Source organism: Homo sapiens, chromosome 13 (assembly GCF_000001405.40).
Source record: "Homo sapiens chromosome 13, GRCh38.p14 Primary Assembly".
Classification (NCBI taxonomy): Eukaryota; Metazoa; Chordata; class Mammalia; order Primates; family Hominidae; genus Homo; species Homo sapiens.
Genome location: NC_000013.11, coordinates 95,291,898 through 95,311,102, shown reverse-complemented (window position 1 = coordinate 95,311,102; position 19,205 = coordinate 95,291,898). Strand labels below are relative to the sequence as shown.

General features: G+C 48.3%; 1 protein-coding gene, 1 long non-coding RNA gene and 1 pseudogene across 7 annotated transcripts in view, besides 7 other annotated features; 2 read left to right on the top strand and 1 right to left on the bottom strand.

Annotated features, from left to right (window-relative positions):
• RNY3P8 (RNY3 pseudogene 8) lies at nucleotides 208-270 on the top strand (annotated as a pseudogene).
• Nucleotides 229-10,152, bottom strand: LOC102724149 (uncharacterized). 2 transcript variants are annotated; one of them, XR_429273.4, is made up of 3 exons: nucleotides 9,840-10,152; nucleotides 8,777-9,157; nucleotides 229-268 (listed from the first exon to the last, which is right to left on the bottom strand). It is a non-coding gene; the product is annotated as an uncharacterized LOC102724149 (long non-coding RNA). The 2 variants fall into 2 exon arrangements; XR_007063837.1 differs by lacking the exons at nucleotides 229-268; nucleotides 9,840-10,152 and adding an exon at nucleotides 9,436-9,493 and having other exon boundaries at nucleotides 8,881-9,157.
• Nucleotides 8,933-9,707: an enhancer, noted in NCBI's record as "H3K27ac hESC enhancer chr13:95953650-95954424 (GRCh37/hg19 assembly coordinates)". NCBI's record gives its function as "activates a minimal SCP1, AML or CMV promoter by ChIP-STARR-seq in naive H9 embryonic stem cells {active_cell/tissue: H9 hESC(naive)}" and the evidence as "EXISTENCE:reporter gene assay evidence [ECO:0000049][PMID:30033119]".
• Nucleotides 8,933-10,116: a biological region, named in NCBI's record as "H3K27ac hESC enhancer GRCh37_chr13:95953650-95954424".
• Nucleotides 9,147-9,206: a silencer, noted in NCBI's record as "silent region_5439". NCBI's record gives its function as "represses an Ori minimal core promoter by ATAC-STARR-seq in GM12878 lymphoblastoid cells {active_cell/tissue: GM12878}" and the evidence as "EXISTENCE:reporter gene assay evidence [ECO:0000049][PMID:35858748]".
• Nucleotides 9,387-9,446: a silencer, noted in NCBI's record as "silent region_5438". NCBI's record gives its function as "represses an Ori minimal core promoter by ATAC-STARR-seq in GM12878 lymphoblastoid cells {active_cell/tissue: GM12878}" and the evidence as "EXISTENCE:reporter gene assay evidence [ECO:0000049][PMID:35858748]".
• Nucleotides 9,477-10,116: a silencer, noted in NCBI's record as "silent region_5437". NCBI's record gives its function as "represses an Ori minimal core promoter by ATAC-STARR-seq in GM12878 lymphoblastoid cells {active_cell/tissue: GM12878}" and the evidence as "EXISTENCE:reporter gene assay evidence [ECO:0000049][PMID:35858748]".
• Nucleotides 9,652-19,205, top strand: part of ABCC4 (ATP binding cassette subfamily C member 4 (PEL blood group)) — a 281,617-nt gene continuing 272,063 nt past the window's right edge. For all 5 annotated transcript variants that reach the window (NM_001301829.2, NM_005845.5, NM_001301830.2 and 2 more), the window contains exon 1: nucleotides 9,652-9,862. In NM_001301829.2, coding sequence (NP_001288758.1) covers nucleotides 9,789-9,862 — 74 coding nt within the window. In that variant the 5' untranslated portion in view covers nucleotides 9,652-9,788. The remainder of the gene's footprint in view (nucleotides 9,863-19,205) is intronic.
• Nucleotides 11,310-11,369: an enhancer, noted in NCBI's record as "active region_7875". NCBI's record gives its function as "activates an Ori minimal core promoter by ATAC-STARR-seq in GM12878 lymphoblastoid cells {active_cell/tissue: GM12878}" and the evidence as "EXISTENCE:reporter gene assay evidence [ECO:0000049][PMID:35858748]".
• Nucleotides 14,390-14,479: an enhancer, noted in NCBI's record as "active region_7874". NCBI's record gives its function as "activates an Ori minimal core promoter by ATAC-STARR-seq in GM12878 lymphoblastoid cells {active_cell/tissue: GM12878}" and the evidence as "EXISTENCE:reporter gene assay evidence [ECO:0000049][PMID:35858748]".

The following is a 19,205-nucleotide window of genomic DNA, read 5'->3' as shown; positions in this document are numbered from 1 at the left end:
GGGTGCAAGTGAACATATTTTTCAGTAATTGGAAGGATATTTTTTGCAGGTGTCTTAGTTTGGGTTCCCACAGCAGCAGACTTGAGACAGGATTAGATTGCAAGTAGTTTATTTGGAGGTGATCCCAGAAAACACTTGTAGGGAGTAGAGAAGTAAGACAGAAGAGGGAAGGAAGCCAATACAAGGGGATTTCAAAAAGTTCATGGAATCACAACCAGTTACAGATTTCTTTGCTCCTTTTCCACTCCCACTGCTTCACTTGACTAGCCTAAAAAAAAAAAAAAAAGTTCATGAAAAAAATGGACTTAACAGATAAAAATAAAAAATATAAACTTTATTTCTCAGTGTAAGCTCCATCAAGTTTGAGACACCTTTGTAAGCAATGATACCAGTCATTAGTCCATCCCTAAAGAATTGAGAGTCCTGGCCGGGTGTGGTGGCTCACGCCTGTAATCCTAGCACTTTGGGAGGCTGAGGCGGGTGGATCACCTGAGGTTGGGAGTTTGAGACCAGTCTGACCAACATGGAGAAACTCCGTCTCTACTAAAAATACAAAATTAACTGAGCGTGGTGGTGCATGCCTGTAATCCCAGCTACTCAGGAGGCTGAGGCAGGAGAATCGCTTGAACCTGGGAGGTGGAGGTTGTGGTGAGCTGAGATCATGCCATTGCAGTCTAGCCTGGGCAACAAGAGCAAAACTCTGATTCAAAAGAAAAAAAAAGTATTGAGAGTCCTGGGAATTCAACCATACAGTATTATCAGTAATATCTAAAGAAAAATGAGTGCCCTTTAAATATATTTTAAGATTAGGAAGCAAAAACAAGTCAGAAGGCATCAAATCATAACTGTAATGTGAATACTAGTGATTTCCCATTGAAACGCTTGGGAAATTGTCCTGGTTGGATGAGATGAATGAGCAGGAACATTGTCGTGGTGGAGAAGGACTCTGGTGAAGCTTTCCCAGGCATTTTTCTGCTAACGCTTTGGCTAATTTTCTCAAAACACTCATAGCAAGCAGATGTTATCATTCTTTGCCCTCCAGAACATCAACAAGCAAAATATCTTGAGCATTTCAGAAAACTGTTGTGTGACCCTTGCTCTTGACTGCTCTGTTTGTGCTGTGACTGGACCGCTTCTGCCACTCAGTAGCCATTGCTTTGATTGTGCTTTGTCTTCAGGATCGTACTGCTAAAGCCATGCTTCATCTCCCGTTATAATTCTTTGAAAAAAAATACTTCAGGATCTTGATCTCACTTGTTTAAAACTTCCACTGAAAGCTCTGCTCTTCTCCATAGCTGATCTGGGCAGAGCAGTTTTGACACCTATTGAGTGAAAAGTTTGCTCAACTTTAATTTTTCAGTCAGAGCTGTGTAAGCTGAACCAATTGAGACGTCTGTGGTGTTTGCTATTGTTAATATGGTGTTGGCTGCTGTTAATTGTTGGTCTTCTTCAATTAGGGCACAAACAAGATGATTTTTTTCCATAAAAATTGATGTGGATGGTCTGCCACTGCAGGCCTCATGTTTAACATCTTCTCATCCCTCCTTAAAATAAGTTATCCATTGGTATTTTTTTCTCTTTTCCTTTTTTTTTTTCTTTTTAAGACAAGTTCTCACTCTGTCACTGAGGCTGCAGTGCAGGGGCATAATCACAACTCACTACAACCTTGACCTCCTGGGCTCAATCGATCCTCCTGCCTCAGCCTCCCAAGTAGCTGGGATTCCACCACTATTCCTGGCTAATTTTATTAATTCTTTTGGTAGAGATGGGTTTTCACTATGTTGTCCAGGTTGGGTCACGAACTCCTGGGCTCAACCAATCCTCCCACCACAGCTTCCCAAAGTGCTGGGATTATAGGGGTGAGCCACCACGCCTGGCCAAGTTATTCATGATTTTTTTTTTTTTTTGAGATGGAGTTTTGCTCTTGTTGCCCAGGCTTGAGTGCGGTGGTGCGATCTCAGCTCACTGCAACCTCTATCTGTTAGGCCTCTGAGCCCAAGCTAAGCCATCATATCCCCTGTGACCTGCATGTACACGTCCAGATGCCCAGTTCCTGTCTTAACTGATGACATTACCTTGTGAAATTCCTTCTCCTGGCTCATCCTGGCTCAAAAGCTCCCCAACTGAGCACCTTGTGACCCCCACCCCTGCCTGCCAGAGAACCCCCTTTGACTGTAATTTTCGTTTACCTACCCAAATCTTATAAAACAGCCTCACCCCTATCTCCCTTCGCAGACTCTTTTTGGACTTAGCCCGCCTGCACCCAGGTGAAATAAACAGCCTTGTTGCTCACACAAAGCCTGTTTGGTGGTCTCTTTACATGGACACGAGTGAAACTACCAAGTTCAAGTATTCTCCTGCCTCAGCCTCCTAGGTAGCTGGAGTTACAGGCACCTGCCACCACGCCCGGCTACTTTTTTGTATTTTTAGTACAGACGGGGTTTCACCAAAGTGGCCAGGCTGGTCTCAAACTCCTGACCTCAGGTGATCCACCCACCTCGGCCTCCCAAAGTGCTGGGATTACAGGCCACTGTGCTCAGCCAAATGGTTGCATTCTTCTGAGTTTCTGATAAGTCTCTCCAAAGGAGGCAATTAGAATATGCATCTATCTCTGTGAGCAGAGGGGTGACTTTGAATAGAATGGGAGGCAGATTTGCCCTGAGCAGTTCCCAGCTTGAAGTGGCCCTAATATTTTTTCCTTTGACAAGTCATTCTTTCTTTTTTTTTGAAGGGTGAGGCAGGCAGAATTTATTAAGCGAAAGGAAAGCTCTTGGCAAAGAGAGGGGTTCTCCAAGCAGGTTTCCCCCTCACAGTTGAATACCAGGGCTACCATGGATGAGCTGAAGAGGCCAGGCCCCTCCCCTGCATAAGGCACAAATTCCTGGTGGATCCCCCCCATTCCCCCAGTGCACATGTGGGTGTGCCCAGGCAAGCCATAGGTAGTATCGCAAAAGGCAACATTCGATTGGTTAAAAGGCATTATTCAGAAATAATCATAGTATCCCCAGGTCTAATGCAACCCCTGTCCCCCATTCTACAAATTAGGAGACTGAGGCCAACACAGTGAAGTGACTGGCCCAGTATCATATAGCATGTCACACAGGAAACCAGAGGAAGGGTTAGGCTTACAGGTGGCATGATGGAATTAGCAGTAGAATGCTGTCATGTTTCACCAAAAGCAAAGCTTTAGCCTCACTTAGTGGAGAAGGGAATTGTAGACAGGGAAGTCAAAAGTCACATATTAATTGAAGCAGGCCGAAAAATGAGAGGGAGGTGGCCACTGTGTTCATGCCAGAGAGAACACCTTTGAGTGAGTGACAGAAAGGTGCCCTTTCCAGGGGCTGAGGCAGTCATACCCAGAGCATATAGCTTGGCCAAGGAGCCCAGGATCCCAGCACCCATCCCATGCCTCGTCCCCTCACCTGCGGGCCTTTATACTCACAGCCATAGACAGCGGCCTGCATGGCACTACCAAGAACTACCAGGAGACAAGAAAAGGACGCTCTCTAGAGAAGCCTTCAAAGAAAGCTTATGGCCAGGCCTGGAGGCTCGTGCCTGTAATCCCAACACTTTGGGAAGCCAAGGCAGGATGATGGCTTGAGCCCAGGAGTTCAAGACCAGCCTGGGTAACATAAGACCCTGTCTCTTTTCTTTTTCCCCCAGCTAAACTGTGCATTTATTTATTTTATTTTGTTTTTTATTATTATACTTGATAAGTTTTAGGGTACATGTGCACAACGTGCAGGTTTTGTTACATATGTCTACATGTGCCATGTTGGTGTGCTGCACCCATTAACTCGTCATTTACATTAGGTGTATCTCCTAATGCTATCCGTCCCCCCTCCCCCCACCCACAACAGTCCCCGGTGTGTGATGTTCCCCTTCCTGTGACCATGTGTTCTCATTGTTCAATTCCCACCTATGAGTGAGAACATGCAGTGTTTGGTTTTTTGTCCTTGCGATAGTTTGCTGAGAATGATGGTTTCCAGCTTCATCCATGTCCCTACAAAGGACATGAACTCATCATTTTTTATGGCTGCATAGTATTCCATGGTGTATATGTGCCACATTTTCTTAATCCAGTCTATCATTGTTGGACATTTGGGTTGGTTCCAAGTCTTTGCTATTGTGAATAGTGCTGCAATAAACATACGTGTGCATGTGTCTTTATAGCAGCATGATTTATAATCCTTTGGGTATATACCCAGTAATGAGATTGCTGGGTCAAATGGTATTTCTAGCTCTAGATCCCTGAGGAATTGCCACACTGACTTCCACAATGGTTGAACTAGTTTACAGTCCCACCAACAGTGTAAAAGTGTTCCTATTTCTCCACATCCTCTCCAGCACCTGTTGTTTCCTGACTTTTTAATGATTGCCATTCTAACTGGTGTGAGATGGTATCTCATTGTGGTTTTGATTTGCATTTCTCTGATGGCCAGTGATGGTGAGCATTTTTTCATGTGTCTTTTGGCTGCATAAATGTCTTCTTTTGAGAAGTGTCTGTTCATATCCTTCGCCCACTTTTTAATGGGGTTGTTTGTTTTTTTCTTGTAAATTTGTTGAGTTCCTTGTAGATTCTGGATATTAGCCCTTTGTCTGATGAGTAGGTTGCAAAAATTTTCTCCCATTTTGTAGGTTGCCTGTTCACTTTGATGGTGGTTTCTTTTGCTGTGCAGAAGCTCTTTAGTTTAATTAGATCCCGTTTGTCAATTTTGGCTTTTGTTGCCATTGCTTTTGGTGTTTTAGACATGAGGTCCTTGCCCATGCCTATTCTTAAGACATCTTTAGGCTGGGTGCTGTGGCTCTCACCTGTAATCCCAGCACTTTAGGAGGCTGAGGCTGGCAGATCACTTGAGCTCAGGAGTTTGAGACCAGCCTGGGCAACACAGCAAAACCCCCTCTCTACCAAAAAAATACAAAAGTTAGCTGGGCATGGTGGTGCGTGCCTGTAGTTCCAGCTACTTGGGATGCTGAGATGGGAGGATGGGCTTGAGCCCGGGAGGTTGTAGTGAGCCAAGATTGCACCACTGCACTCCAGCCTGGGTGAGAGCTAGACCCTGTTTCAAAAACAAACAAACAAACAAACAAACAAACAAAAAAGAAGACATCTTCCTCGTCTTTGCAGGCTCATTCCCTGGCCTAGCTGTCATGTATCCAGAAGGCGTTCACTAACGATTTATTGAATGAATGGGAAAAAACCCCCATCCTTTAATTTGTATATTGCCTTCAGAGTGTATTCACAAGTTGTGAGACTCACAATAATCCTGTGAAGAAGGAAGAGTGGGGATTCTGATCCCTATTTTGTTTTTACATGTATTTTTATGTTTTTAGAGACAGGGTCTCTCACTCTGTCTCCCAGGTTGGAGTGCAGTCGTGCAATCAGAGCTCACTGCAGCCTCAAACTCCTAGGCTCAAGTGATCCTCCCATCTTACCCTCCCGAGTAGCTAGGACTACAGGTGTGTGCCACCATGCCTGGCTAATTTAAAAAACATTATTATTACTATTATTATTATTATTTTTTATTTTTATTTTTTGTAGAGACGGCATCTCATCACATTGCCCAGGCTGCTCTCGAACTCCTGGCTTCAAGTGATGCTCCTGCCTTGGGCTCCCAAAATGTTGAAATTATAGGTGTGAGCTACCATGCCCTGCCTGACCCCATTTTATTGTTGTTGTTTTTTTTTGAGATGGAGTCTAGCTCTGTCACCTAGGCTGGAGTGCAGCAGCGAGCTCTTGGCTCATGGCTCACTGCAACCTCTGCAGCCCAGGTTCAAGTAATTCTCCTGCCTTAGCGTCTCAAGTAGGTGGGACTACAGGCGCATGCCACCAAGCCTGGCTAATTTTTATCTTTTTTTTTTTTTTTTTGAGACAGAATCTCGCTCTGTCGCCAGGCTGGAGTGCAGTGGCATGATCTCGGCTCACTGCAACCTCTGACTCCCTGGTTCAAGCAATTCTCCTGCCTCAGTCTCGCAGGTAGCTGGGATTACAGGCACATGCCACCACGCCCAGATCATTTTTGTATTTTTAGTAGAGAGGGGGTTTTGCCATGTTGGCGAGGCTGGTTTCTAACTCCTGACCTCAGGTGATCTGTCTGCCTCCGCCTCCCAAAGTGCTGGGATAACAGGCATGAGCCCCTGCGCCCGCCCCGACCCCATTTTAGACCTGAGAAAAATAAGGGTCAGAAAGGTTAGGTAACAAGTGAAAAGATATAAAGCCCTGGCCCCCTGGTTCCATATCCACTCCTCTCTGCAGTCAGACACTGCTCTATAGTATCTCTTCCAAACACCACATTGTTAATGTTCAGAAAAGAATGTTAAGAAGTTCCAAAAGATCTTAATTAAGAAAAAAATAAGCCTCTGCAGGAGCCGAAGGGACTGAGCACTTTGGCAATTTGGAGATGGCTAATGACGGTTCTTACACAGTTGTTGGGGGTAGGGAGAGCATTCTGGGACAGTCTGACAGAGGAAGTCACTAGACTTCTAACTTTAGTAAACAGGTTCTCTAGCTTGGAAGTAGAACTGGTAGCTCAGCATTTACTGGGCTAGAAAACTTAGGAAGTTTCAAAGGGCACTGTAAATCAGGTGAAGGCTGACTATTTTGGTTTATAGCTTATATTATCTGAGAAAGAGCTATCAGAAAGGTAGGTTATTGAATGATCATAGCTTTCCCACAGTAGTCAACTTAAAATATTGTGTTCCTTTTTGTGACAGAAATTCTGAAACATGAGCTGGTATGCTGGCGAGTGCCTACAATCCCAGGTACTTGGAGGGGTTGAGGCAGGAGGATCCCTTGGGCCCAGCAGCTTGAGTCCAGCCTGGGCAACATACTGAGAGCCCATCTCCAAAAAGAAAACCATTCTCAAACATGCATGAAATGTAAGAAAATAAACCCCTATGACACATCATTTGGCTTCAAAAATTATCAATATTTTGCCATTCTTATGTGCTTGACTTTTTTTTTTTTTGAGACAGAGTCTCACTCTTTAGCCCAGGCTGGAGGGCAGTGGTGTGATCATAGCCTACTGTAGCCTCCAACTCCTGGGCTTAAGCAATCCTCCCACCTGAACCTCCAGCTGGGACTACAGACTCACGCCACCACACCCATCATATTTTTACATTTTTAGTAGAGATGAGGTCTCCCTTTGTTGCCCAGGCTGGTCTAGAACTCCTGGGCTCAAGCAATCCTCCCACCTGAGCCTCCAGGTTACATGGGACTACAGACTTACTCCACCATGCCCATCTAATTTTCACATTTTTAGTGGAGATGAGGTCTCCCTATGTTGCCCAGGCTGGTCTAGAACTCCCGGGCTAAAGCAATCCTCCTGTCTCCACCTCTCAAAGTGCTGGGATTATGGGCTTGTACAGCCTGGAGTGCAGTGGCACCTTCTTTTTTTTTTTGAGACGGAGTTTCACTCTTGTTGCCAAGCTGGAGTGCAGTGGGATGATCTCGGCTCACTGCAACCTCCGCCTCCTGGGTTCAAGTGATTCTTCTGCCTGAGGTTCCTGAGTAGCTGGGATTACAGGCATCCACCACCACACCCAGATAATTTTTTGTATTTTTAGTAGAGATGGGGTTTCACCATGTTGGCCAGGCTGGTCTCGAACTCCTGACGTCAGGTGATTCACCTGCCTCAGCCTCCCAGAGTGCTAGGATTATAGGCGTGAGCCATTGTGCCCAGCCCAGTGGGCACCTTCTTAACTCCTTGTAGCCTGGAACTCCTGGGCTAAAGCCATCCTCCTGTCTCAGCCTCTCGAGTAGCTGGGACTACAAGGGTACGCCACCACACCTGGGCTAATTTTTAAAACTTTTGGTAGAGACAGAGCCTCACTATGCTGGCTAGCCTGTGCTTGACTTTTAAATATGTGTTTGTGTAAGGCTTTCTTTAAAAGCTATTAACTATACTATTTTAGCAAATATACATGGGAAATTATCAAGGAACAATAAAATGATCTTGTTCCAAGCACCATGAACTTGGAGCCTTTCATTTTTTTTCATTCAGGGTGGATATGAAGAGCAGCTGCTGACCTTGTTAAGGTAGCCACAGAAATGACTGAAGACTTAGAGGTGGGAGTACACAAGCTTGGAACAAGATTTTGTTCATTCATTCCTACAGCCATTCAACCAGCATATTCTGGGCACTTCTCATGCACACTGGCCATCCACCAGGGAGACAGGCCATGCTTAGACATAGGCTTATTGCAAATCATGTTTTATCCTTTCTTGGCTCTAAGACTGGACAAGTTCTGCCTTTCAGCTTCACCTTCCTCATCTATAAAGTAAGGATAACCTTGAATGGGGCACTGATAGAATTAAAAGTGAGATAATTGGTCGGGCGTGGTGGTACATGCCTGTAATCCTAGCACTTTGGGAGGCCACGGTGGGAGGATCACTTGAGCCTAGGAGTTTGAGACCAGCCTGGGCAACAAAGTGAGAAATTATCAAGGAACAATAAAATGATCTTATTACAAAGAAAACCAAATTCTCAAACATGCATGAAATATGAAGAAAATAAACCTCCATGACAATCATTTGGCTTCAAAAATTATCAGTATTTGAACTTGGAGCCTTTGATTTTGATTTTTGCATCTCTACAAAAATTACAAAATATGAGCCGGGTGTGGTGGCGGGTGCCTGTAGTCCTAGCTACTTAAACTGAGTTGGGAGGATTGCTTGAGCCCTGGGAGGTCGAGGGTGCAATGAGCCATAATCGTGACACTGTGTGTGAGACTGCCACACACACACACACACACACACACTAGTGAGGCTACGCACTCAGAAATGCACATGAACATCACTGGTATTCTGGAACCCACGTGTCGTTTGCCACTGTTATCTGTTAGGCTTTAGGGCTTGACGACAGAAATCATCAGGCAGTCTCTCTTTCCTCTTATATTCCTTTCCCAATCTAAGGGGGCAGCAAAAAGCTCAGAGGTCCACCGTAGCATGCAACATGTGAGATGCCTAAAGCCCGCCCCCATCGACGACAGCATTCATCCATCTCCCGAATTCATCTGGGTCATACTCTCGAGTTACCCGGCTTTCTTGAGGTCTTGCAGCTCTACAAGGATAATCTGTGGCTAAACTTTGCTGTCGTCCAAGGTCAAATGTTTGGCTCACAGGTTGAAGAGCCTCCCATGGCACCGTCGTTTGGTCCTGAGAAGGGAAAGGCGCCCAGGGGGCGGGCTGCTAGAGCACGAGGCAGCTGTCTCCCAGTCTTCCCAAACCCGTAGCCGAGGGGGCGTTTCTGCGGCGCAGGGGCGGGCACAGCCGACGCCTCCCTGCTCCACCTTCTGTGTCGGCGCCTAGACTCGGATAGTGAATTTCGGAAAGTTTCACTCGGGTTCGTGCACGTGGGCACCTCCGGACCCGGCCTCCTTGCCGCGCGCTCTGCTACCCTCTCCATCCAGCGGCGCAGGCGGCCCTCGCCTCACCCCTGGGCGTAGCTCTGGGCTCCCTTTGGCGTCGCCAGCTTCGCCTCCTCCCGCCGCGTCTCCTCCCGCCGCGTCACCCGTCGGTCCCGGCCGCGCTCGCACGCGGTGCGCAGCTCCCGGGCTCCAGGCGGCGGCGCGTAGCGGGCGCCCCCGAGGCGGCGGGCCTGAGAGGCGGGGACGGGGCGTGCCGCCGGCGCCCGGCTCCCGGAAGCGGCTGCTTCACAGGCTCCAGCCGAGCGGACAGGCGTGGCGGCCGGAGCCCCAGCATCCCTGCTTGAGGTCCAGGAGCGGAGCCCGCGGCCACCGCCGCCTGATCAGCGCGACCCCGGCCCGCGCCCGCCCCGCCCGGCAAGATGCTGCCCGTGTACCAGGAGGTGAAGCCCAACCCGCTGCAGGACGCGAACCTCTGCTCACGCGTGTTCTTCTGGTGAGTGTCCCCGCCCGAAACAGGTCACCCTGCAGCCGCTGGCGCCGCGGACGCACTCTCCCGGGGCCGCGCCCGATGCTGCCCAAGCCCTCTGCGGCTGGGGGCGAGGGGAGCGCTTTCCTACGCCACGCGGTCCACGCCGGGGCTTTCTGCTGCGGGTGGCGCCGCCCCCACGCCGGCCGCGTGGTCCCTGCCTGCGCCCCGGGGCGCGGCGCAGGGGGACGCGGGGACGCGGGGCCAGTGGCTTTGCTACTGGAGGCCCTGCGGGCCCTTAGGGCTCGGGGGAGGAGGAGCAGGAGGTGGGGAGGCGGGGAACCCAGGCTGCCGAAAGGGGGAGTCTCTTGCCCAGCGGGAGAAGCGACTGCACCCCTTACACGCCCACCCTTCGCTGGCTCCCGCCTCCTGCTCTGGGACTCGCAGTCTCCTGAACTCAAACGCACCTTTTCCTTTCTTTTTAAGTAAGCAGCTTACGAACAGTTTCCTTTATCTGATCTCAGCCAAAGCCTAATTAGTGTCCTGGACCTATGCCATCTCCCAGTAGTGTCCCCACCCCTTCCGATATTCCTTACGAGACAGCTCGATCCAACTCCACGTCCCGTTGTACCTCTCTGTGTCCCGGTGTCTCTGTATCTTTTGTCTCAGTGACCAGGGCTCTCCTTTTGCCTCTTTGTGGGAATCTCACTGTGTGTCCATGTGGGTCGTGGTACCTAGTTATGGCAAGTTTCATGTGGGTAAAATAACACTATTATTATTTTTCATTTATGAATGGGGACCCTGTTCTTGAACAAGATTTTCCAGGATTTGCTTTTAACTGGGACATGCACCGCCACGACTGGAGTCTGTCTTTGACCAGCTTCTTTCCCCTGTTTCCAATACTTTCACTTCCACGTAGGAGGACAGCTCGGAGGTGGGGTCCCTGGAATCGCTAACCTTCAGAGAGGTGATCCATGGTCTTGATGCAGGTGGTTCCTACCAGGAGTTCTACCTTCTTAAAACCACCCCAGGGCTCCTGAGCTGGGAGGGCCCACAGCCCTACCCATTTTGTGCAAGGAAACAAACGGAGAAAGACTCGGGTGACAGTAGTAACTAAAATTTCCATCTTGGCCTGGCGCGGTGGCTCACGCCTGTATCCCTGCACTTTGGGAGGCAGAGGTGGGTGGATCACGAGGTCAGGAGTTCGAGACCAGCCTGGCTGACATGGTGAAACCCCGTCTCTACTAAAAATACAAAAATTAGCCGGGTGTGGTGGAGCACGCCTGTAATCCCAGCTACTCAGGAGGCTGAGGCAGGGGAATTGCTTGAACCCAGTAGGCGGAGGTTGCAGTGAGCTGAGATCGCCCCACTGTACTCCAGCCTGGGTGACAGAGTGAGACTCCGTCTTGGGGGAGTGGCGGGTGTGTGTGGGGGAATTCCGTCTGCTAACTACATAAGCCTGAACCTTTGAAGGGCTTCAATCTCACTTGGATGATTATTAGATCTTCTGTTTCTTGACCTCTGCCGCCTCATCTTTCCCACATGTTGATATTGCCTTTTATTATGGGACAACCTAGGGTGGGGGTCTCCAATTTTTTGGGTTCCCTGGGCCACACTGGAAGAATTGTCTTGGGCCATACATAAAATACACTAACACTAATCATACACTAACACTAATGATAGCTGATGAGCTAAAAAAAAATCGCAAAAAAAAATCTGATGTTTTAAGAAAGCTTACGAATTTGGCAGCCCATGGGCCTCAGGTTGGACAAGCTTGACCTAGGGGATTCCAAGAGGATGAGTCGCTTACTCTTGTTTCGATTGTGGTACACTCAGTGGGTGTAGGAACTTCTCTTGGTTGTTTGGCGGCCTTTCTCTTAAGGAGAGGGGCACGTGGAGGAGGAAGGAATATGGGTGTGGTTTCTGCAAATAATAACTTGAGGTAGACAAATGGTCTCCTCAACTTCAGGCAGGGCAAGGAACTTTTTTTTTTTTTTTTTGAGACAGGATCTTGCTTTGTGCAAGCTGTGACCCAGGCTGGAGGGCAGTGACACATTCATAGCTTGCTGCAGCCTCCAACTCCTGGGCCGAAGCAATCCTCCTGCCTCAGCCTCCCGAGTAGCTGGGGCTCCAGGTGTGTGTCACCATGCCCGGATAATAAAAAAAAATTTTTTTTGTAGAGATAGGGCTCTCTATGTTGTTGCTCAGGCTGGTCTTGAACTCCTGGGCTCAAGTGTTCCTCCCGCTTCGGCCACCCAAAGTCTGGGATTACAGATGTGACTCCTGCCTCCTTATATTTTTCTCCCCCTGCATTTTCAAAATGTAGGTGGCAGGGAAATAGGAAGTGATGCGCTCCCATTGATGACTTGAGTAGGTGTTCATTTCCGGTTTCCCTGATGGAAGGGAAGGAGCTAGTAGACCTCTGTTTTACTCCGAGGACACTTAAGCTGAGAGTGGTTAAGTTGCCTGGACTCACACAACAATCAAGTGTCAGAGCAGGCTCCAAAGCTGGGCAGACTGGCTCCCCAGCCTCTTTGGAGCTGCTGTACTGAGCTGCTTCCAGTTCAGGTGCTGTCGGAAATGCATGGAGAAGGCGCTCCCTGTTCTGGAAGGCTAGAGTTTCTCAAGGGAAATTCTTAAAGTACCTGCAGTTGGAGATGATGCATGTGTAACAACTATTAGTGTGCTTTAGGGCAGCTGTTCTCAAAGCATAGCACTCAGAGCAGCAGCATCGGCATCACTTGGGAGATTCTAAGAGATGCAGATTCTCCAGCATCCACTCTGGACTGATTCAGTAAAACTGGAAACACTGGGTGTGTGGGTGGGGGTGGTGAGGTTTCAAGTGCTCCAGGTGATCCTGATTTGAGGCGCTTACTGCTTCCAGCTACTCCTTTCATTGGAGTATTATTACAGTATTATGCTTTTCTTTATTTTTAATTGTTAAAATTTCTTTATTTCTTTTTTTTGAGACGGAGTCTTTCTCTGTTGCTCAGCTCTGTCACCCAGGCTGGAGTGCAGTGGTGCAATCTCTGCTCACTGCAACCTCTGCCTCCTGGGTTCAAGTGATTCTCCTGCCCCAGTCTCTCAAGTAGCTGGGACTATAGGCGTGCACCCTCACACCCAGCTAATTTTTGTATTTTTGGTAGAGATGGGGTTGCACCATGTTGGCCAGGCTGGTCTTGAACTCCTGACCTCAGGTGATCTGCCCGCCTTGGCCTCCAAAAATGCTGGGATTACAGGCATGAGCCACTGTGCCTGGGCCAGTTTGAGGGATTTTAAAGTCTGAGGCCTCATAGTGAGAAAATAATAATAATCATCATCTGAGGAATGCGGAGTCCTTTTAAATTATCAGGCCCAGAGAGACATTAAAATGACACAGCAGTCACCTCGTAGTTCCCACCCCCTTGAGCTATTTACTTATCACTCGAAAGTACTTCATATTGCCACATAGCTACAGATTAACCTAACAGTGCCCCAAGGACACTGTAATCCACAGCTCAGGAGTTTGAGCTCCAGCGATCTGCCTGCCTCGGCCTCCCAAAGTGCTGGGATTACAGGCATGAACCACCACACTGGGTCTGTAGTAAATTCTTGAGTTATATTTTGTGCCTTAGCCTCCTGCTTTTAGGTCAGTATTTGTGTACCCTTCCCACTGCCAGTGGAAAGCTGAAATGAGCCCATCCAGGAAGTGGCTGCCTGGAGACAGGGCCCACCTTGTAGGGAAAAACTGCTTTTTCACCTTCTTGTTGAGTGTTTGCTTTTCTTCTCAAATATCATCTGCTTTCTGAACTTGTGAACTGGCAGCTGCCTACCTAAATGATGCCAATAACTGGCTTACTGACTTTTATTCAAAGTATTTTCCCGGGATTTTGGTGTATTTATAGCATAATTTGGACTTGGAGTCTAAAAGGAGTCATGCATTATGGCTGTTGGCAATTGTGGATTTTTAAAGGTAGTATTTTCACCTATTTCTTTCTTTTTTCTTTCTTTTTTTTTTTTATGAGACAGAGTTTTAGCTCTGTTGCCAGGCTGGCCGTGGTGTGATCTCGGCTCACTGCAACCTCCGCCTCCAGGGTTCAAGTGATTCTCCTGCTTCAGACTCCCAAGTAGCTGGGATTACAAGTGCCCACCACCATACCTGGCTAATTTTCATGTTTTTAGTAGAGACAGGGTTTCACCATGTTGGCCAGGCTGGTCTCGAACTCCTGACCTCAGGTGATACACCTGCATCGGCCTCCCAAAGTGCTGGGATTACAGGTGTGAGCCACTGTGCCTGGCCTTCCATTTTCTTTTAGCTATTGTTTCATTTCTAACAATAAAGGCAGCTAGAATTTCTTTTGGTATTTGATATGAGATAGTCCCCATTTTTTCCCCAAACAGCTCGTTTTCCCCATTATCATTTATTGAATAATTCCTCCTCTTTCCCGTTAGTGGAAATAAGTGGCATAGCCTATGAACTGTGGCCAGCTGGGCACAAGATGGGTCAATCCCTGAGACTCTCCTAGGAATTGTCCTGCTGCCCCCTGGTGCCCGGCAGGCACTTTGCATTCCTCTGCCCACACCTGATCCAGAGGTGATCTGGGGTCAGCAGCAGGGTGGAGGCTAACAACGAAGGACTTTTCCCTAAATATGGGCATTGAGAGGGATCTCCAGATGCATCTGGCCCACAGAAAGTGGTTAAATCCTTGCTCCCCTGTTGCTGGCCATATCTCAGTGGGTGAAGTGTCATCTTGCAAAGCCTGTGCTGCTGTGGAAACTGCCACTGGTGACCAGACAGACTCTCTGGAGACCTGCCCTAGAGAGCTGATGACATGACTATAGAAGCAAACACAAGTGGCTGAGGGCAGGGGATGGCTTAGAGAGGAAGGGTGTGTGAGGCCCTCAGTCAATGCATCAAATGTTTAATTTTATATTTTCTTTTTCTATAATAAAAAAAATATTTTTCTTGTAGAGATGAGGTCTCACTATGTTGCCCAGGCTGGTCTCAAAATCCTGGGCTCAAGCAGTCCTCCTGCCTTGGTTTTCCCAAGCGTTGGGATTACAGGAATGAGCCACTATTCCTGGCCATTTAATTTTGTGTTTTTGTGTGTGTGTGTGTGTGTGTGTGTGTGTGTGTGTGTGTGTGTGTGTGTTTTGAGACAGGGTCTTGCTCTGTTGCCCAGGTGGGAGTGCAGTGATGCAATCATGGCTCATTGTAGCCTCAAATTCCTAGGCTTAAGTGATCCTTCCAGCTCAGCCTCCCAAGTAGCTGAGCTACAGGTGCACGCCACCACACCTAGCTAAAGTGTTTTTTTTTTTTTTTTTTGACGGAGTCTCACTGTCACCCAGGCTGGAGTGCAGTGGTGTGATCTCAGCTCACTGCAACCTCTGCCTCCTGGGTTCAAGTGATTCTCCTGCCTCAGCCTCCCAAGTAGCTGGGACTACAGGTGCCTGCCACTATGCCCAACTAATTTTTTTGTGTGTTTTTAGTAGAAATGGGGTTTCAGTATGTTGGCCAGGCTGGTCTTGAACTCCTGACCTTGTGATCCGCCCTCCTTGGCCTCCCAAAGTGCTGGGATTACAAGCATGAGCCACCGCACCTGGACACCTAGCTAATTTTTTGAGGGGCGGGGGACGGAGTCTTGCTCTGTTGCCCAGTCTGGAGTGCGGTGGCGTGATCTTGGGTCACTACAATCTCTGCCTCCAGGGTTCAAGTGATTCTCCTGTCTCAGCCTCCTGAGTAGCTGGGACTACAAGCGCACGCCACTGCATCCAGCTAATTTTTGTATTTTCAGTAGAGATGGGATTTCATCATGTTGACCAGGATGGTCTTGATCTTCTGACCTTGTGATCTACCCACCTCGGCCTCCCAAAGTGCTGGGATTACGGGGGCGAGCCACTGTGCCTGGCCAGTAATTTTTATTAATACATTTTTGGTAGAGACCAGGTCTCGCTGTGTTGCCCATGTTGGTCTTAAACTCTTGGCTTCAAGTGATTCTCCCGCCTTGGCCTCCCAAAGTGCTGACATTGCAGGTGTGAGTCACTGTGGCCGGCCAAATAGTAAATTTCTGTGTCTGCAGAATCACAGTCTCTTGGGGTTGAGCATCCTGAAATCTGCATTTTTTAAAGCATTATTTCCTGGTTGATTCAGATGCTGAGATTTGGGAGCCACGTTTCTCAGGTCTTTCTCAGTCTTTGGTGTCCAATTCTACTTGATCGGTGTCTGGGAGGCCAAGGTTACTGCCTTGATCCTCTGCGGTTTAGATTATTCATTTAGCAAACATTTGAGTGCCTTATTTTTATTTTATTTTTTGTTTTTAATTTTTTAATTTTTGAGATGGAGTTTCACTCTTGTTGCCCAAGCTGGAGTGCAGTGGCGTGATCTCGGCTCATTGCAACCTCTGCCTCCGGAGTTCAAGCGATTCTCCTGTCTCAGCCTCCCAAATAGCTGGGACTACAGATGTGCGCCACCATGCTCAGCTAATTTTTTGTACTTTTAGGAGAGATGGGGTTTCAACATGTTGTCCAGGCTGGTCTTGAACTCCTGACCTCGGGTGATCCACCCACCTGGGCCTCCCAAAGTGCTGGGATTACAGGCGTGAGCCGCCATGCCCAGCCTGGACTATGTTTTCTACCCCAACCTTGTGGTCAGAGGTGACCATGAAACTGAGACCTGGCCAATAGGAAGTGGTTGCAAAAGGTGTCTCGCTTCCACGACTGGAACACAAAAACCAGCCCCATGCAACGCCTCTCCAGCTGAATAAAGAGGCCTCCTGGAGAGGAGGAGGACTGAGAGGAGGCCGAGCCGCAAGATGGTGAAAGTCCAGCTAGGAGTAAATGTATGGTGTTGTTCACCACCCTAGATGGCCCAAAAGGGGACTATAGCATGACAATAGGCATGGTCTTGGTTTCTTGTTTTCTTTTTTGAGACGGAGTCTATCTCTGTCTTGCAGGCTAGAGTGCAGTGGCGTGATCTCGGCTCACTGCAACCTCTGCCTCCCGGGTTCAAGCGATTCTCTTGCCTTAGCCTCCTCCCAAGTATCTGGGATTACAGGAGCTCAAAACCACGCCCGGATAATTTTTTATTTATTTATTTATTTTGTATTTTTAGTAGAGAAGGGGTTTTGCTGTGTTGGCCAGGCTGGTCTCCAACTCCTGACTTCATGTGATCCACTGCCTCGGCTGGTGATTTTGAATTAAGCCATTGAGAATCAGGGCTTGTTTAATAGCTAGCATTATTTGCACGATACAGTGGCTGCCTCCCTCATTGTGTGAGCTCTTTGAGAACAGGAATGGTACTTTATTGTAATGGATTTGCACCTGGCAAGAAAGAAGGCACCCTGCCTTCTTTCATGGTGGCACATGCCTGTAATCCCAGCTACTTGGGAGACCGAGCAGGAGAATCGCTTTAACCCAGGAGGTGGAGGCTGCAGTGAGCCAAGATTGCACCACTGCACTCCAGCCTGGGCTACAGAATGAGACTCTGTCTCAAAAAAAAAAAAAAGCAAAAGAAAACGTAGTCCAGGCTGGGTGCGGTGGCTTATGCCTGTAATCCCAGCACTTTGGGAGGCCGAGGCAGGTGGATCACAAGGTCAGGAGTTCAAGACCAGCCTGGCCAACGTAATGAAACCCCGTCTCTACTAAAAATACAAAAATTAGCTGGGCGTGGTGGCATGCACCTGTAGTCCCAGCTACTCGAGAGGCTGAGGCAGGAGAATTGCTTGAACCCGGGAGGCAGAAGTTGCAGTGAGCCAAGATCACGCCACTGCACTCCAGCCTGGGCAACAGAGCGAGACTCCATCTCAAAAAAACATAGTCCGTGTGTCCAGCAGTCGCTGCTGCAGGAGTTCATCCTGAACCCGTGTTGGGTGTGCTGGAGTAGAAGTATGGAAAAGCTGTGTGAGGGTGGGGATTTTGTTTTTGTTTTTGTTTTTTGAGATGGAGTCTCTGTCGCACAGGCTGGAGTGCAGTGGCATGATCTCGGCTCACTACAACCTCCGCCTCCCGGGCTCAAGCGATTCTCCTGCCGCAGCCTCCCAAGTAGCTGGGATTACAGATGTGCACCACCAGGCCTGGCTAATTTTTTTGTTGTTGTTAGAGACAGGGTTTTGCCATGTTGGCCAAGATGGAGATCTCTGGGGAGGGGTTTACCTTCCTGTTGGAGCTTGGATGGAGAAGGTGGGAAATCGTTCCTGGCAGGGGATGAGATGTCCAGGTCACAGAACTGCAGTTGGAGAAAGTGTTGCCTGAGACGTGTGGCGAATGACCACCCCTCAGTCGCTATGTCGTCCCTGCCAGCCGGTAGCGTTTGTTACACCCAAGGTTGCCCTCCCCTCTTTCATCCCAGCAGATGTTCAGACTTTGCTTCTCCCACTTCCAGCCCCTTACTCATGAGTACTTACAGCCCTTTTGTGGCCTGCGACGTAGCTCCTTGTTCCATTTCTGGGTTCCATGACCACTTCCGTGCTGGTCTGTTTCAGGCCTAGTCCCTGTCTGCTCTTTTCTCTGCGCTAGCTCCTATCTTCCCCTTTTCCTTAGTGTCATAGAATTAGTGGGTTGAAAGGAAGAGATCTTCTAGCCCACACTCAGTACAGGAATCCCTTCCAGATACTGGGCAGTGGGGAAATGCATTATGTGACTCTCATGACTTTAGATTCGAATGCCAGAATTATGTTGTATTGAGCCACAGTTTTCTTTCCATGCAATTTCTACTTGTGTTTACTTACTTCTAAGAAAAGCATTACAGAATTTAATGAAGCAAAGAATGATCTGTGAATCAAGCAGCTCCTAGAACCAAAATAGGTTCAGAGCCGCTCTCCTTTGTTTTTTTGTCAACACGCAGAGCAAGTTGGCTACCTCCCTTCATATGCTCGCCTCATAGTATTCAAAGACAGCTATCATGGCCACATTAAATCTTTGTTTCTTTGTTTGAGACAGGGTGTCACTCTGTCACCCAGGCTGGATTGCAGTGGTGCGATCTCAGTTCACTGCAACTTTCACCTCCTGGGCTCAAGCCATCCTTCCACCTCAGCCCCCTGAGTAGCTGGGACCACAGGTGTGTGCCAGCATGCCCAGCTAATTTTTTATATTTTTTGTAGAGATGAAGTTTTGCCATGTTGCCCTGGCTGGTATTGAACTCCTGGGCTCAAGTGATCCTCCCGCCCTAGCCTCCAAAAGTGCTGGGATTACAGGCATGCGCCATGGTGCCTGGACAGGAGTTTATTTTTGACCCTGTTAAGTTTGAGATGCCTGCTACACATTCAAGTGGAGATGTTGAATAGGCATTCAATTGGTCATGAGTTTGGGGCTCATGGAGAAGTTTATCTTATTATTATTATTTCTTTAAATGGAGTTTCACTGTGTTGCCCAGGCTGGCGTGCAGTGGTATGAT